The following is an 18,328-nucleotide window of genomic DNA, read 5'->3' as shown; positions in this document are numbered from 1 at the left end:
CTTAAGACTTGTTTGTAGATTGTGTTTGAACTCTACAAAGAGCTGTTTTTCATCCTCCAGGAACATCAACAATGGAGTGACCTGACATGGAAAGAGGGTTACAGTTAGGATGACTTGGATTCAAATCCTGGCCTTAACCCTTGGTGTCTACATGTTTATGAATCTAGCATGTTCTTTGTCTGGCATGGTAGTGAAGTGAGACAACCCATGAGAGGCATCCATAGACCCTGGGATATGGTCTACTTCTGCCTTTTCCTTTTAGAGCACAAACTTGCCACCCCCTTCACCAGGAAACTCAATGCTGCGTTGCAGTTCTTTTCCCTAAATGGCCCTTGAGTGAGAAAACTATTTTATGTGGTCTTAGTTTTCTCATTATTTTATTTATTTATTTTTTGAGACAGAGTCTCACTCTGTTGCCCAGTCTAGATAGAGTACAGTGGTGTGATCTCGGCTCACTGCAACCTCCACCTTCCGGGTTCAAGTGATTCTCCTGCCTCAGCCTCCCGAGTAGCTGGGATTACAGGTGCCCACCACCATGCCCAACTAATTTTGTATTTTTAGTAGAGATGGGGTTTCACCATGTTAGCCAGGCTGGTCTCAAACTCCCGACTTCAGGTGATCCACCTGCCTGGGCCTCCCAAAGTGCTGGGATTATAGGTGTGAGCCACCTCGCCCAGCAGCGCCACGCCCCCACCCCCCGGCCTTTTTTTTTTTTAATATCACTGTGGTGTGGTTTGAGGTTGTTTCCATATCTAAATACTGTTGTATTACCCAATTATTAAAGTTAATCTTGTACCATATTATTCTATCACATCTATTTAATGATTCCATTAAGAAAATAATGTTCTTGTTTGATGGATGTACCTGCTCGTATCTTTTTCCCTATTTTTCCCCATCTTTCTTTTTTAAAAAAAAAAAAAAAAAAAAAAAAAAAAAGATTCTCCTTCTATTAAGTGAGTGAGTTCTGAGTTGGATGCGTTCCCCATAGTGGTGAAGTTCCCAGTGAATGTGGTATGGCAGGCATTCCAGTTACCTGGGCACTTTGGGAGACCGGGACTGACTGGTGACCTCATTCTATTTTGCGTTTTCTACCCTGGGAGCCAGGTTACAGTCTCATTACACAAAAAAAGTGGATACCCTGGGAGATCTGAATCTCACAGCTACTTAGTGTAGATGGATGCAGGAAGGAGCCAGGCTGCCTCTATGTTCAACTGGAGGGGACAGCAGGGGGATTTTATCCCGTGACACTTGTAGTTCGAAAAACTGGGACTTCATGTATGTATCTTGTATGTGCATAGATTCTGTCACAGTAATTATCTCTTTGACTTCAAATTTTAATGTGCTTCTTTCCTGTCTCTTTCAGGTAGAACGTCATGACATGAATACCTTAAGCCTGCCCCTGAACATACGCCGAGGGGGGTCAGACACCAACCTCAACTTTGATGTCCCGGATGGCATCCTGGACTTCCACAAGGTCAAACTCACTGCAGACAGCCTGAAGCAAAAAATTCTAAAGGTAACAGAGCAGATAAAAATTGAGCAAACATCGCGCGATGGGAATGTTGCGGAGTATCTGAAACTAGTGAACAACGCAGACAAGCAGCAGGCGGGACGTATCAAGCAAGTCTTTGAGAAGAAGAATCAGAAATCAGCTCACTCCATCGCCCAGCTGCAGAAGAAGTTAGAGCAGTATCATCGAAAGCTCAGAGAGATCGAGCAGAATGGAGCCTCTAGGAGCTCAAAGGACATTTCCAAAGACCACCTGAAGGATATACATCGCTCTTTGAAAGATGCCCACGTGAAATCTCGAACTGCCCCCCATTGCATGGAGAGCAGCAAATCGGGCATGCCAGGGGTCTCACTTACTCCACCTGTGTTCGTTTTCAATAAGTCCAGAGAGTTTGCCAACCTGATCCGGAATAAGTTTGGCAGCGCCGACAACATTGCTCACTTGAAAAATTCCTTAGAGGAGTTTAGGCCAGAGGCGAGTGCCAGGGCCTACGGGGGCAGCGCTACCATCGTGAACAAACCCAAGTATGGCAGTGATGATGAATGTTCGAGTGGCACGTCAGGCTCGGCCGACAGTAACGGAAACCAGTCGTTTGGGGCTGGTGGAGCCAGCACACTGGACAGCCAGGGCAAGCTCGCCGTGATCCTGGAGGAACTGAGGGAGATCAAGGATACCCAAGCTCAGCTGGCTGAGGACATCGAGGCACTGAAGGTGCAGTTTAAGAGAGAATATGGTTTTATTTCTCAGACCCTGCAAGAGGAAAGATACAGGTATTTCAAAGTATTCCATTGGCGTGTTTTTTATTTTTTATTTATTTATTTTTTTATTTTATGTTATTTTATTTTTTCATTTTGAAAACTTTTTTATTACCACGGATACTTAGTGGGTACGTGATAGGTGTGGCATTCTTTTAAAAGGATGAGTTACTGCAGAGAGATTGCTTGAAATAAGAATGCCTTATGGTTACATTTTCAATAAATATGGATATGGATTAAAGGGCGTTTAGCAATCAATACATCCCTAATGTATTGATGCATCCCTCATGCAAAACTCTGAAATCCAGAATGTTCCCAAATCTGAAACTTTTGGAGTGTCAGCACAATGCCACAACTGGAAAATTCCACAAATAAATACTTAACACAAACTTGAGGCACAAAATTATTTAAAATATGGTACACTTTTACCTTCAAGCTATGTGTATATGATGCATAGGAAACAAATGAATTTTGTCTTTAGACTTGGGTCCCATTTTTGAGGTATCTCCGTATATATATGCAAATATTCCAAAATCTGAAAAAAATCAAAATCTGAAACACTTCTGGTCCCAAGCATTTCAGATAAGGGATACCCAATAATTTCCATCCTTCATGATTCTAAGTTTATAATTTGTGGCTTTTAGCTGACAATTAGAGAAGGATTTATGTGTGGGTCCTTAAATTATTGGATACAGGCAACAACTCACGTGCATCTTAAGATGCTGATTCAGTAGACTTCCGTTATAGTGTCATTATGCTAATTCAGAGATCTATATTTGATTTCCCTCCATAACAACTGTCAAGTACACACTTACTCATTACCCAACAAAGTTAATCTTATTTGGCACATCAATCTTGAAGTCCTTATGTAATGTTTGTTTGTTTGTTTGTTTGTTTGTTTGAGATGGAGTTTTCACTCTTTCTCCCAGGCTGGAGTGCAGTGGTGCGATCTTGGCTCACTGCAACCTCTGCCTTCTGGTTTCAAGCGATCCTCCTGCCTAAGCCTCCCGAGTAGCTGGGATTATACGCACCCACCACCACGCCCAGCTAATTTTTGTATTTTTAGTAGAGATGGGGTTTCACCATATTGGCCAGGCTGGTCTCAAACACCTGACCTCAGGTGATTCGCCCGCCTTGTCCTCCCAAAGTGCTGGGATTACAGACATGAACCACTGCACCCAGCCTATGTAATGTATTTTTTTATGTTCTGTAGTTTGCTCATTAAACTTTTTACTCTAAAGTAAAATAAAGAACTTTCCAAAGTCATCTTAAGATTAAAGTATACATTCAAAACCTTTGGCTTATATTAGGTAATTTTAAAGTAGATGTTTTGTAGGCTGGCTTTTAGGTGCTTATAACTTATTAACACAAAGTGTGTAAGCCCAAATATAAGGTCATTTTCCCCATTTTTTCCAATAAAGAGATACTTCAAAAGTTTTTTAGTCAAAGTTAATAATACATTAACTTCTAAAAAGGTAGATAAAATAGTAAAATGCCTATTACATACTATAACATTAAAAGTTTAAATTTAGTTTACTTATTGTTTTATAATTGATGTATGATTTTATGTCTGTATTAATTTAGAAATGTGGCCTTTTCAATTCTCCAATTTTATGAAACAAAAATCTTTCCATATGCATCTTTGGAATCTTTGTCACACAAGAATTATATTTTAAGTCACAGCTTTTCCAGAGTATGAACGTCAGTTCTATCGAAATAGTCTGGGATATAGCACTTTCTAGATGCACATTTTCTCCCAAGTTACAGATCCCTATTTATGTGAGTTCAGGACGGTTTCTGTTTGCATCTGTCCTGTGGTTACGTTTGTGACCCGCGTGTTACAGTCACCACCTGTATTACTGAAGAGACCTTTAAAGGCTTATTCACAGCAGTAGCAGCATTTGACATCTGAGAAGTCATGCCTGAGAATAAGCATTAAATCTGGATGAAGCTCTTTGGTCCTCTTTATAAAATGATTCTGTCAGGTGACCTATGTAAGCATCTGAAATTGGCGTTGATCAAAGTCATTCCAGTCTAATGAATGCATCTTCTCCAAACAGTACATCCTGTTTCAAAATACACAGTATAAGATTTTTTGTTTTGTTTTGTTTTGTTTGTTGTTGTTGTTTTGAGATGGAGTCTTGCTCTGTCGCCTAGGCTAGAGTGCAGTGGCGCGATCTGGGCTCACTGCAGCCTCCACCTTCTGGGTTCAAGCAATTCTCCCATCTCAGCCTCCCGAGTAGCTGGGATTATAGGCACGTGCCACCACACCCAGCTAATTTTTGTATTTTTAGTAGAGACGGGGTTTCACCATGTTGGCCAGACTGGTCTCGAACTCCTGACCCCAGGTGATCCACCTGCCTTGGCCTCCCAGAGTGTTAGGATTACAGGCGTGAGCCACTGCACCCAGCTAAGGTTTCAAATATGAGAAAAATAATCTTCAGTGAGAGGGGCAGGGCACAGGAATGAGAATCTTTGTACTTCTGTTCCTTTAGATTTGGACATTTTGAAACACTGCATGATGAACCATCTATAATTTGTAATAAGCTTAATTTTGTATTGTCAGTTAAGTTCCAAGAGCTGAAATCCATAATCAGTGCGTGTTTGCATGCTGGGAAATAGTAGAGTTGACCCCAGAGTAGAAGGTGATACTAAAAGCATGGTGCTTTCCCTGTGGGCTCTCTGGCCATGAACCCCAACAGCAGTGTCAGGGCAGAATAGGGAAAAGGCACCACAGACACCAGAGGTCCTGGCCCTCCTTTAGCAGGATCCCACAGAGCCCTGTCTCCTGCCTGGCCCTGGCAAGTGCATCAGCTGATGAGCTCTATCTTGAGGTCACTGCAGCTAGCTAAGGTGCTAGTCTGACCCGTGTGCACCTTCAGTGGCAAGGACAGAGAGTCAAGACCCCAGAGACTGGATCTTTCCAGAGCTGGGACTCAGTGTTATCCAAAAGCTCAATTCCCACAGCTAGCCTTACTCTTTTAGAAAAACAGCCCATCAGGGAATGAGAGCAAGCCAAAAGGTACTGGCGCAGGAAGATAAAAAGGACATCGTTCCACAATGTGCTGTGAAAGGTCACACTGGGAATCGGCTCCTCTCTTTTAAAGGTATGAGCGACTGGAGGACCAGCTGCATGACCTGACGGACCTGCATCAGCATGAGACAGCCAACCTGAAGCAGGAGCTGGCCAGCATTGAGGAGAAGGTGGCCTACCAGGCCTACGAGCGCTCGCGGGACATCCAGGTACCTTTCCCTTTGTGATTAGACACAGGCCTGGGCTCTTCCCGAGCCTTAATTCATTTAACAGTCTAAATGTTTATGCCTAAGTCCTAGAGGGTTTCTGGCACATGGCACAAAATGTTTTCTCTGCACAAACATTTTATCTGTACCACGTTAACCCCACTAGTTCATGTTATAGACATTACTAAGTAAAAAGACAATATTCTTTTTTTTTTCTTTTTCTTTTTCTTTTTTTTTTTTTTTTTTTTTTGAGGTGAGTCTCGCTCTGTGGCCCAGGCTGGAGTGCAGTGGGTGATCTCAGCTCACTGCGACCTCTGCCTCCCGAGTTCAAACGATTCTTCTGCCTCAGCCTCCTGAGTAGCTGGGGCTATAGGCACATGCCACCATGCCTGGCTAATTTTTTTGTATTTTTAGTAGAGACGGGGTTTCACCATGTTGGCCAGGCTGGTCTCAAACTCCTGACCTCAAGTGATCTGCCCACCTTAGCCTCCCAAAGTGCTGGGATTACAGGTGTGAGCCACCGTGCCTGGCTAAGAGACAATATTCTTTATACTTTATGCCTAAATCAATGAACAAGTATTTATTATCCACCTCAAGCCCATCACCACCAAAACTGTAAAATGTAAAAATAGGAGACAATCTCTGGCTTCAAGCAGCTCACTGCCTAGGTGGAGAGTGTGGGATAGCGCAACTGCCAAAGAACTCAAGACAGCACAAACATTGGCCAATTTACACGACACGGACTCTGTGAGCCACAGAAATTTAGCCATGTGGTGTCTAGCAAGCTGTGGACCATGGGAGCAGTCAGTCATGTAGTAGCAAAACATTTCCACGTTCAGTCCCACGTCTGTCATATCAGTTGTGTGGCCCTGAGTAAGACTTGAGCCTATTCACTCATCTGTAAAATAATAGCATTCACATGGCCAGGCGCGGTGGCTCACAGCACTTTGGGAGGCCAAGGCGGTTGGGTCACGAGGTCAGGAGATTGAGACCATCCTGGCTAACAAGGTGAAACCCCGTCTCTACTAAAAATACAAAAAATTAGCCAGGCGTGATGGCACACACCTGTAGTCCCAGCTACTCGGGAGGCTGAGGCGGGAGAATTGCTTGAATCCGGGAGGCAGAGGTTGCAATGAGCCGAGATCGCGCCATTGCACTCCAGCCTGGACGACACAGTGAGAGTCTGTCTCAAAAAATGAATAAATTAATTAATTAATTAATAATAGCATTCGTATTTGTAAGAAATTAAAGCACTTCGATACATACTGTGTGCTCAATACTAGCAAAACACTTCACAGGTTTCTTTTTTTCCCATTTACTTCTCAGCAACACTTTAAGGTAGTTTCTGTTATTATCCCCACTTCTCAGATATGGAGACCGAGGCACAGAGAGGTTAAGTGGCCTAAACAAGGTCTTGCAAGTCATTCTTAAGGAAGGAATGTAATTGAATGTCCTAGAGAAGGCGGGACTGGAAGGAATGGGTAGGATCTGGGTGGATGGAAGGAAAGGATAATGGGATCAATATAAACAAAGTTGTGCTCCAGTATTTCCTAATGTGATCCTAGCACGTAGTGAAACAACCCCAGGCTCCTTGATTGCCTTTAAAAAAAAATTGCCCAGGGCTGGTGGCTCACACCTGTAATCCCAGCACTTTGGTAGGTTGAGGCAGGAGGATCACTTGAAGCCAGGAGTTTGAGACCAGCCTGGGCAACATAGTGAGACCCCTCTATCTCTAAAAACAACTTTTTTTTAAATTAGCTGGGTGTGGCAGTGTGTACCTGTAGTCCCAGAAACTCAGGAGTCTGAGGTAGGAGGATGGCTTGAGCCCAGGAGTTCAAGGTTACAGTGATTGTGCCAATGCACTCCAGCCTGGGGGGTGACAGAGTGAGGCCCTGTGTCTCTTAAAAAAGTACTCTTCAAGCAATGCCCAGCTTCATTTTTATGAATTTTCTCTGTGGACAGTAGTCATTTTCTCCAGCTCTAGGAAGGCTGAAGGCTGTAAGTCCAAGCCCCACTTTACAAGGGAGAAAATTAAACATAAAGATAGTGCTTTATCCTGCAATGTGTGACCTGGAGTTTCAACTGGCCACGTTTTTATTCCACTCTGCTGAGGGCTGAGCCTGTGCTAATCCCAGATGCCTACTTGGGACAGTTCTGGGAACCAACACATCAGAGCTGATGGGAAATTCTGCCCCCAGAGACCGCATCTCAAAAGACACTTGGGAGGTTTCTGGCCCTGTTCTGGATTAAGAGACTTTGCTTCACCACTGGCTTATTCGAGAAACTTGAACCCATTTAAACGTTAATTGTTGCCAAGTGGGCCGAGTGCAGTGGCTCATGCCTATAATCGCAGCACTTTGGGAGGCTGAGGTAGAAGGATCATCTGAAGCCAGGAGTTCAAGACCATCCTGGCCAACATAATTAGAAAAAAATTTTTTTTTTAATTATTATAGCTGGACATGGTGGCATGCCTATAAACTTAGCTACTTGAGAGGCCGACGAGGGAGGAGTTTGTGGCTGCAGTGAGCTGTGATCACACCACTGCACTCCAGTCTGGGCGACAGAGCAAGACCTTGTCTCCAAAAAACAAATAAAAATGTTGCCAAGTGAACAGTACAATTGCTTCACGAAGTCGTTCTATTTTAGAGCATGTTTCGGGTGTCACTGGGTGGTATCTGAATGCATGGTTTTCTTATTTAGGGGATAGTTTGGGTTAATATTGTTCTTCTGTGTTTTAACAAACATATTTTAGTGGTGAAGGAGGGACCACACAAAGGGAACTTAAAAATCCAGAGAGGTTCATTTCGACGTTTTCTGGTTTCATCTCTCACTCAGAAGTGTAAAGAGGACATCTGTGTGAATGACTGGAGTGTCTTCCCTGTCACGTTGGTTAGAATCCTGGCCCTCCTCACCTATGCTGTGTGACCCTGGATGAGTTAGTGCTCTGTGCCTCAGTTTCCTCCTTAATAAAATGGAAATATTAATGAGCTCTACCTCAAAAGGTTGTCAAGGAAGATTAAATGGAATAATCATGTAAAGTATTGAAATCTTTGCCTGGCACATAGTAAACAGTCAAAAAATAAATACTGTCCATTCTTTTTATTACATCCGGGAGTAGCCACAATCCTCAGGGCTTCTAGCAGTTGGGCCTTTTGACTTCATCATTTTTTCTTATTTGTTTTGTTCTTACAGGCACGGTTACACAAAGGGAATGGGCTGCCAGAGACAGGGAGGCTGTTGCCTGCAGGGATGTCAGGGTTTTGTTGTTTTAAACAACTGAGTGGTTTTTTAAACCCTGAATTCCCAGTTAGAAATGTTTCAAGATAACCCCTTTTTATGGTCATCATCCCCAATAAGTTAATTACTGGACCCAAGGAAGTACCAAAAATTGTGGGGCTGAATACTCTGGCTGCTGTGACTCAAATTCCTTGGAATTCACCCTTAATTTTCTTGGATTTTTCTTTTGGTTAAAAAAAATTGACAGCAGTTGTAAGACAATTCTAAGATCGGTCTATTTGTACACGTAATTCATTTTATAATCAAAGATTCATGGATTTTCCTAAAAGGTTGGTCTTTTGTCTTGTTCCATCACCTTTTCTGTGTTATGCCTAAAATAGAGGAAACCTTGGACCCAAGTAGTTGAAAAGAACACATGATTTCTAGTACATGCCTGTTATTGCTGAAAGCCAGCACTTTCTAGAATGTAAGATCTGAAGAAGTTTTATCCTTTTCGTTGGTAGCCTAGTATAATAGAAGTTACTATAGTAACAGAGAACCTGTTCTTTGGCCCATAGAGTTATTCAGCAGAAGAAAAGCAAATCAATCTTGGAGCCATTATTCTTGTTTAAAACCTGAAAAGGTGACTATATTTTAATTGAGCAAACACAGATGGGCAAATGAGTTAGAACAGAGAGGGGCACATTGTACTACCTCTAGTTAGATCCTTTTCACCCAGCAGGCCTGAAGGTTTCTCTCTCAAGCCTCACATTCTGTTTTTTTTTTTTGTTTTTTGAGACCGTCTTACTGTGTTGCCTGGGCTGGAGTGTAGTGGCGTGATCTCGGCTCACTGCAACCTCCGCCTCCTGGGTTCAAGTGATTCTCCTGCCTCAACCTCCTGAGTAGCTGGTATTACAGGTGCATGCCACCATGCCCAGCTAATTTTTGTATTTTTTTTTTAGTAAAGAGGGGGTTTCACCATATTGGCCAGGCTGGTCTTGAACTCCTGATCTCAAGTGATCCACCCGCCTCGGCCTCCCAGAATGCTGGGATTACAGGCATGCGCCACTGTACCCATCAAGCCTCACATTCTCTTACTGGCACCTAGCTGTCTCTTTCATATTCAGCCAGTGTGTGGCACGTGCTGCATGCCTGGCGCTGGCTCTGTGCTGGAGAGGACAGCAAATGCAAGATGGGCTAGTTCCTGTCCTCAGGCAGCGTATGTCTTGTGGTTGGGGAGGAGAGCTGAAGGGAGACTTGATCTCATCTCATGGATCAGGAAAGGCTTCCCCAGGGATGTGGCAATCAAGGCGAGACCTAAAAAATGAGTGGGAGATCCACGGGTGAAGAAGGGATGGAGTGGGGGAGGCACATGTCTCAGGCAGAGTGTACTGAATATGCAGAAGCCCTGAGGTGAGTCTGTGCTCCTTTTCAGAACTTAGAATAAAGCTGTGTGTGGTGGCTCGCACTTGTAATTCCAGTCATTCAGGAGGAATGGAGGCAGGAGACCAGAGGTTGAGGTTGAAGTGAGCTCTGACTGTGCCATTGCACCCTAGCCTGGGCAACAGAGTGAGACCCTGTCTCTTAAAAGAAAAAAAGAACTTAGAAAAGGCCAGAGTACTGTGACAGGGCAAGCGGCTGGCATGAAGTCATTAAGTGAGGGAGGAGAGGGAGCTGAACCTGGCCTTGCAAGGCCTCAGAAGGCCATATTAAAGATTGTAAAGGTTTTATGAAAAGGAGTGATACCAAATATGCATCCTTAAAAGACCGCTTGGGTGGCTGTGTGGAAAATGGATTCGTAAGGGTGGGGAACAAAAGAGTGTATAGGGAAATTCGTGTAAGGTTATTGCAGGCAGGAGATCCCGGTGACTTAGATTGGGGTGCTGACCGGGTGGAGAGAGAACCGGACCAATTGAGCTAGAAACTGGATGTTGCCTCCGTGGCTGGGCGACGGGTTGGATGAGAAGGGTATCAGGGTATGCCCGTTAGGCTTCTGGTATGAGGAACTGGGTGGATCATGGTGCTGTACTCTGAGAAGAAGGACACTGGAAGGGAAGAGGGTTGACTGCAGGTGTTGGGTAGCTGCAATACATGAAGCCACATTTGTACGTGTTGCATTTGAGGTGCTTTCAGGAAGCTCTGATGGAGATGTCAAAGAGGCATGGAGATCTGTGAGTCAATCTCAGAAGAAGAACTGGCCTAGAGATACACTTGTAGCCATCTGTGTCTTAGTAATTGAAGACTTGGCATGGACGAGATCCAGGGAGATAGCCTCGGATGGTGTCCTGAGTAACACCGCGTTCAGAGAGCAGGTGAAAGCACAGTTGCCCCACAGTCAGCCCCAGTCCCTTCCCCTCCCTTCTCTCGCCTTCCTCCGCCAATCTCTAACTGATGGACAAAAATCTTTGAGCGGTGGAAATAAGGACTGACCATTGGAGATCCCACACACTCCTTGGCTGAAAGGTGGAGTAGTCACAAAGTGGAACCTCCCTCCTTCTCTGCTTTGTCCCTGATGGCACCAACAGGCACCAATATTTTATATCACTTTATTTCAAAAATAGGTAAAGTCAGGCTGGGCATGGTGGCTCACGCCTGTAATTCCACCACTGTGGGAGGCCATGGCAGGCAGATCACTTGAGGTCAGGAGTTTGAGACCAGCCTGGCCAACATGGTAAAACCCTGTCTCTACTAAAAATACAAAAATTAGCCAAGCGTGGTGGCGTGCACCTGTAATCCCAGCTACTCAGGAGGCTGAGGCAGGAGAATTGCTTAAACCCAGAAGGCAGAGGTTGCAGTGAGCCGAGATCACGCCACTGCACTCCAGCCTGGGTGACAGAGTGAAACTCTGTCTCAAAAAAAAAAAAAAAAAAAAAAGATGAAGTCGGCTGGGCATGGTGGCTCACACCTATAATCCCAGCATTCTGGGAGGCCGAGGTGGGCCGATCACGAGGTCAGGAGATCGAGACCTTCCTTGCCAATATGGCGAAACCCCATCTCTACTAAAAATACAAAAATTAGCCAGACATGGTGGTGCGCACCTGTAGTCCCAGCTACTTGGGGGGCTGAGGCAGGAGAGTTGCTTGAACCCAGGAGGCGGAGGTTGCAGTGAGCTGAGATCGCACCACTGCACTCCAGCCTGGCGACAGAGCAAGACTACATCTCAAAAAAAACAGGTAAAGTCAAAAAACTTAGCCATACTTCCTCATTTATGGTATTTTGTGGTTGTATCCACATGCTCTTCTACTCGTGAACAACAGGAGAAAATGAGCCTGGGATTCTTGTTCCACATCTTTGTCTATCACCATCATCATCGGTTTGGGGATTTGCAGCCGCCTGGGCATTGGGCTTTCTGAGCTGGGGCTTTTGTGTACAGCTGAGCGAGCACTCACGTGTTGCTCACCATCCCAACACCGTTTGACCCTTGCTCTCCCTCTTGCTCACAGGAAGCCTTGGAATCCTGCCAGACTCGCATTTCTAAGCTGGAGCTCCACCAGCAAGAGCAGCAAGCTCTGCAGACAGACACCGTGAATGCTAAAGTTCTCCTGGGGAGGTGCATCAACGTGATCCTGGCCTTCATGACTGTCATCTTAGTGTGTGTGTCCACCATCGCGAAGTTCGTCTCACCCATGATGAAGAGTCGCTGCCACATTCTTGGCACCTTCTTTGCCGTGACTCTTCTTGCTATATTTTGTAAAAACTGGGACCATATCCTGTGTGCCATAGAAAGGATGATAATACCAAGATGAAGCCACTGGTTCCTGCCTTCAAGTTCTTTCAAGTTTTTATTTTAAAGAAAACTCTGTGCATACTACCAAATTTTACAGTGAATGATTGTGCGGACTCGTGTGTAAGAAAAACTAGGACTGTGTGGTGTAAATAACTACAATTCTCTTAACTCCGTAGCAGTTGCCAACTCAGTCCTTGTACTTCGTTAACACGAATCTGTTTCAGAGCTCTCCTACCTTGCTCACTGCCTTAATCAGACCGATTTCCTGCCCACCTGACCAGCCCAGCGTGGTAAACCTCTGTATATTGAGACCTTGGCATAATTGGTGATCCTGAAGAAAGAGGTCTCTCTCCTAAGTCTCTGTCAGAATTGAGCTTCACAATTGCTAATGGTTGTTTTCTGTGAGTCCTATAAAAAGCAAGGATATGCATGATTCAGGGAATGAAGAATCACAGGCTTGGGCAGTGTTAAACACTGTGGCCTATGGTCCCCGTGTGATCCACCCTGCTTCTCTCCAGGGGACCATAGGTCCCGTCATGTACTCAGTGTCCACAGCAGTCAGTCGTGTATGACCCTGTAACGTGGAAATCTTATCACACACCTGTTATCCAACAAGTCTACCTGAGGGGTTTTGTTACACTTTAAATGGGAAGGCATAGGGATTTATGAATGGGGCTTTCACCTTCTCATACCCAGGCAACCAACACCTGATTTTGTCTCAACTGGCTAGCAAATGCCCAGCCTTCAGAGTGTGCAGGAATGTTTTCAAATCCCTCATCAGACTGTGACTTTAACATTAATTTGGAATCCTGTGAGCACTACTCTGAAGGTTTGTGTTTTGGCAAATCTTTTTTCTTTTTTGAGACAGGGCTCTGCTAAATATTGCTCAGGCTGGTTGCAAACTCCTTGCTTCAAGGGATCCTCCCACCTCAGCCTCCCAAGCAGCCGGGACTGCAGGCACAAGCCACCATGCCTGGCTGTTTTTTGGCAAATCTTGATTGTGATAAGCCCCCCTGGAGGATATGATTCACTTTATGTGATTCATCTTATTCACAGGTCTGTGAGGGACTGCAAAGCTTACTCAGGAAATGAAAACAAATGATGGTCATGTTGCAGTTTTTTCCTTGAAGGACAACCGAACCATAGCCTCTAAAGTTCAAGTGCACTGAGGTGTCGGAACGCTGAAAGCATGAGGAAACGAGGACGTAGGGTGTGACTGAATGGTGGCTAGATTAGTGGGAGCAGTTCACCTGGATGAAGATTGAGAGCATCGTCTTTGAGAAGTGAAAGACTAGCAAGAATAAAATAAATTAAGTCCAGTGTTTGAGCCAAGGTTGCCACCTGTCTCTTAACATCTCACTGAACATAAGTCCTGAGGTATTAGGACGACCATACTGCCTCTGAGCTGAAAACATTCAAAAGTTCACATCCCTGTTTGGGGGATACCATTCACCGCCTTCAGCCCAGATGATACTTTCCTTTAAATCTGTGTCTCTGTGTGTATAACAAAGAGGAAGATGGAAACAATGTTCATGGAAACTGCTGTTGAGCCCCTTGTCCCACCACTCCCGCCATCTGCTGCAGGCAGGAAGGCATGTGAGTGTACGTTTTCTTCCAGGAGACATCAGGTCCCCCTGGATTCAAATTAAGTGCAATATTTTGCAAACAGCTCTTCTTAGGGAAATCTCCTGAAGGAAAAAAATGTGACAGAATGTTCCATAGTCTGAGAGAATGGAATCGTTGAGCATTTAGTACAAGTCCAGTGTGTGTGAGCGGGACTTAGGCAGCTCAAGCTTGCTTTTTTTTTTAAGCGTACAATTGAGTGGTTTTAGTAAATTCACAAACTTGTTCAACCATCACCACTATCTAATTCCAGACTCACGCTTTTTTAAACAATAAATGTCATTTCATGAAATCTTTGGTGATAAAGTATTTTGGATTCAGAGAAGAGCTCCCTTACCAGTCCCACCCTGATCTCATGGCTGTCTCTCCTTTCATTGTCAGACTCCCCCTGGTCTACCGCGTTGATGTGTATACACTGATCTTTCAAGTCTGGGAGACAGATAAGGAGGCCAGGTGCAAGGCAGGGAGGCAGAGAGAATGTTGTGCTTCCTTTAGCTTTTGTATTTCGATGGCCAGCATTACCCTTTACCTGTGGGCATCAGACTCAGCGTGGGCTGAGTGCTGAGTGTAACTTACACTCCTAAATCAAGCTGGGGCCTGGGTGGGCCCCTCTTGGTATCTGTGAATCTTTCCAAGCACCACTTCGGACACACCAGGGATTGAGTGCTGCTGTTAGTTTAGAGAAGGAGAGATGTCTAACCCTTGAGGTGAAGGGCTCTGGGAGGGTCCAAGAAGACGTAGGCTTCATTTTCACACCAGCCCACACCATTCCAGTGCTCAGCCTAGCAAATGTGCTTTAATGCACACTTCTCAGACCTGTGATCCGTGTATCTTCTCCCCAGTGACAGAAGTAGAGAAGAGAATGGAAAGCAGCACACTCCGTCCCCTCTAGTCTGGAGCTGTTAACAGAATCTGCTAGAAACTAGCTTTATTCTAACATACCGTAGGATCTAAATCCTCCTACCTGGATCATGAATTCCTTTGAAATAATTCATATTTTCATTGACTCTCACTAAATGTCAAATAACCTTGTTTTCACTTGGATAGGCTCAACCTACCTGGCATATTTATTTTGCAGTCTTGTTGAAAGTTCATGAAACTTTGTACTTTTTAATAAGATGATACACTCGAAGGAAACTTTTAATCTCTGCAGTTTATTCTCTCTTAAGGAATAAACACTCCCACTGTTTGTTCTCTTCAATGTGTAAGGAGATTAAATGACATTTTAGAAATATTACAATTAAAAATAGTGATGTAGCTGTAACATATGCTGGAATTGGATATTTAATTTATGTTTGTGTCAACTATAATCCTTTCCCCACCCCTTTCATTTATGGTAAACATCTTGGGCAAACCCAAAGATGGAAAGTGCTTGTTGGGTGGGTAAGCACCACCTGGTCTCTCAGCAAACACTCCTGAGTGGTTGAAGATGCTGGACATTGGATTCTAGCACTGGGTTTATCTGGTGACATAGTCTCCTGTGGGTCTTGAGTTGGTTATTTCAAGCTCAAACTCTGAATATGATTAAACCAGAACACCCCACCCCCAACTGCCAAAAAAAAAAAAAAAAAATGGAAATCCATAATGAAACAGCAAAAAAGTACTCCGTTGCTGGGTTTGGACAATGAACATGGGATTAGTCCCAAGTTTGTAGCTTGGAACGGTAGCATTTTTGCCTGCGTGATCCTTGTCAGCTATTCACAGAAGGAAATCTTCCGAAACTCCGTCTTTCATTTCAGCCGGTGAGGCTGTTATCCTTCTCTGTCAATTAGCATTCATGTGGTTTTCGCTCTTTCCAGCTCTGTCACTCTTGTTTTCATTTAAATATTGCCCCACTCTGTGTTTATTGCCTTGCCATTTCTCTAGCATATCAGGTTTAATTATGGGCTCAGTAATAATGAGGAACTAGCTTCCCTCAGGCAACTAATTACTTTTGTCTTTTTTGGTCGGATTGTACCAAATTATTTTGCATTGAATGGGAATGTTTTTGCAGTGAATCCAGATATAGTTGTATTGGTTTGGAAAAACATTTAAATATATTTATTCATATGAACATGTGTGATTAAACAACCTATTTTACATATTTCTGTAATTCTGAGGAGTGGGCTGGGGGTAGGAAGAAATGGCACCACTTAAAATTCAGGGCTTATATGAAGAGGTGTTTTAAGGTTAGCACATGCACAAAGGAACGAGTTGGTTTAAAAAGATAAATCACTGCAAAGAATGAAATTGGCTTATTCACATCAAAACTAGATAAGATGCTAAAAAAAAAAGATATGAAACAGAACTAACCTATAGTTTCCTGAAATCAGTACAGTTTAATTTATAAGAAGCTAGAAAGTAATGCACCTTGATTGTTTTAGGAATGATTTATGTGTTGCAATTTTAATTTATTTAAAGCATGTCTACTGTGTTTGTCCTAAGAGAAATATTTCAACAAAACGTGCTCTGTGTTTAAGATATGTTTAGGCAGTAGTTAGCAACTCTGAAAGTAGAAACTGGAAATGTTTATTGTGAGGCTTGTTGCAGAATTTCCATTTTGTGAGTTACTACTTAGTTTCATGTCAGCCTAAAATTGTAAATTCCCTGTAGATCTTCACCCCATTGTGGTGTCATCAATGAATCCAAAGCAGGTGCCATTATTTTTTTAAATAAACACTTGATGTTAGCTTTGGTGTTAAATAAAGAGGTAGATTTCTTAAATTTTCACATTTGTTGGAGCCCATCTCAGTAGCAAATGTGTGTGTGTGACCAATTTTTTTAATAGATTTTATTTTTTAGGGCACTTTCAGGTTCACAGCAAAATTGAGCAGAAGGTACAGAGATTTCCCTTATAACCCCTGCCCCTAGACAGGCATAGCTTCCCCTCCACATTAGCGATATTTCCCACCAGAATGGTGCACTTGTTACAGTTGATAAACCTGCATTGACACACATCATTATCCAAAGTTCATAGTTTAGGGTTCATGGTGTTGTCATTCTGTGGGTTTGGACAAATGTATGACTACATGTATCCCCCATTACAGTATCACACAGAATAGTTGCCCTTCCCTAAAAATCCCCTGTGCTCCATCTATTCATCCTCCTCTCCCGCTGTAGTCAATTTTTAAATGAATCTCAAGTCTTCTATATATCGTAGGAAGTTGGTGATGTGTGGCCCATTGCTTGAGCCCCGGCAGAAGGAAGAGTAGTTTATTCACAGTCATGCTAAGATGCTAGCAAACATGTCCTTGTGTTGAAAAAGGGGAAGTGATGGCGAGGACAAAGCACAGCCTTCATAAGCTGGAATGAGACACCAAGGGCAATGCCAATCCGGGGGGGGCACAGGGCAGCAGCACAGGAGGGAGCAGACGCCTGACTCCAGCAGTCGGTTTAGTGCACTGTCTCCAGTTTGTCTGGGGCTTTGGTGTCTACAATGCACTTGATTTCACAGTGTGTGAACTCCTATGAACCAGTCCAGTAGTACAGATACCAACGCTATTCCTACAATATTCCCCCTTTATCCTCAGGGGATGCCTGAAACCTCAGATAGAACTGAGCCCTGTATACACCATTTTTCTTATACATACATATGATAAAGTTTATAAATGAGGCACAGTAAGAGATTAATGACTAATAATAAAATAGAGTGATTATGACCATGTACTGTAGTAAAGTAAAATAAAAATTACTTGAGCAGAAGCAGTTGATCTTATAACCAAGACAGCTGCTAAGTGACTCACAGTCGGGAAGCGTCTACAGGGGTGTCCAATTCTTTGGCTTCCCGGGGCCATATTGGAAGAAGAATTGTCTTGGGCCACGCATAAAATACACTAACACGACAGCTGATAAGCTAAAACAAAATCACAAAAAACCTCATAATGTGTTAAGAAAGTTTACAAATTTGCATTGGGCTGCATTCAGAGCCGTCCTGGGCCGCATGCATCCCATGGGCTGTGGGTTGGACAAGCTTGGTCTACAGTATAAATACACTGGACAAAGGGAGGATTCAGGTCCCAGTTGCGACAGTACAGGATACTGCCAGATCAGAATGGCGCACAGTTGAAAACTTACCAATTGTTTATTTCTGGAATTTTTCCTTTCTTTTCTTTTCTTTTTTTTTTGAGACAACTCTGTCACCCAGGCTGGAGTGCAGTGGTGCGATTTCAGCTCACTACAAACTCCGCGTCCCGGGTTCAAGCGGTTCCCCTGCCTCAGCCTCCCAAGTAGCTGGGATTACTGGCATGCACCTCTCCGTCTGGCTAGTTTTTGTATTTT

The 18,328-nt window shown here is 43.7% G+C and overlaps 1 protein-coding gene and 1 non-coding gene across 3 annotated transcripts in view; both read left to right on the top strand.

The window, feature by feature from the left end:
• Positions 1–16,780, top strand: part of TMCC3 (transmembrane and coiled-coil domain family 3) — an 83,436-nt gene extending 66,656 nt beyond the window's left edge. For both annotated transcript variants that reach the window (NM_020698.4, NM_001301036.2), the window contains exons 2-4: positions 1,364–2,280; positions 5,373–5,508; positions 12,165–16,780. In NM_020698.4, coding sequence (NP_065749.3) covers positions 1,364–2,280; positions 5,373–5,508; positions 12,165–12,467 — 1,356 coding nt within the window. In that variant the 3' untranslated portion in view covers positions 12,468–16,780. The remainder of the gene's footprint in view (positions 1–1,363; positions 2,281–5,372; positions 5,509–12,164) is intronic.
• On the top strand, positions 12,550–12,671 carry MIR7844 (microRNA 7844). The gene has a single exon (NR_106998.1). It is a non-coding gene; the product is annotated as a microRNA 7844 (primary transcript).
• Positions 16,781–18,328: the final 1,548 nt, after the last annotated feature.

The sequence above is a fragment of the Homo sapiens genome, chromosome 12 (assembly GCF_000001405.40).
Source record: "Homo sapiens chromosome 12, GRCh38.p14 Primary Assembly".
In the NCBI taxonomy this organism is placed as follows: domain Eukaryota; kingdom Metazoa; phylum Chordata; class Mammalia; order Primates; family Hominidae; genus Homo; species Homo sapiens.
Note: the sequence above shows the minus strand (reverse complement) of the source record. Positions and strands in the feature narration are given on the sequence as shown.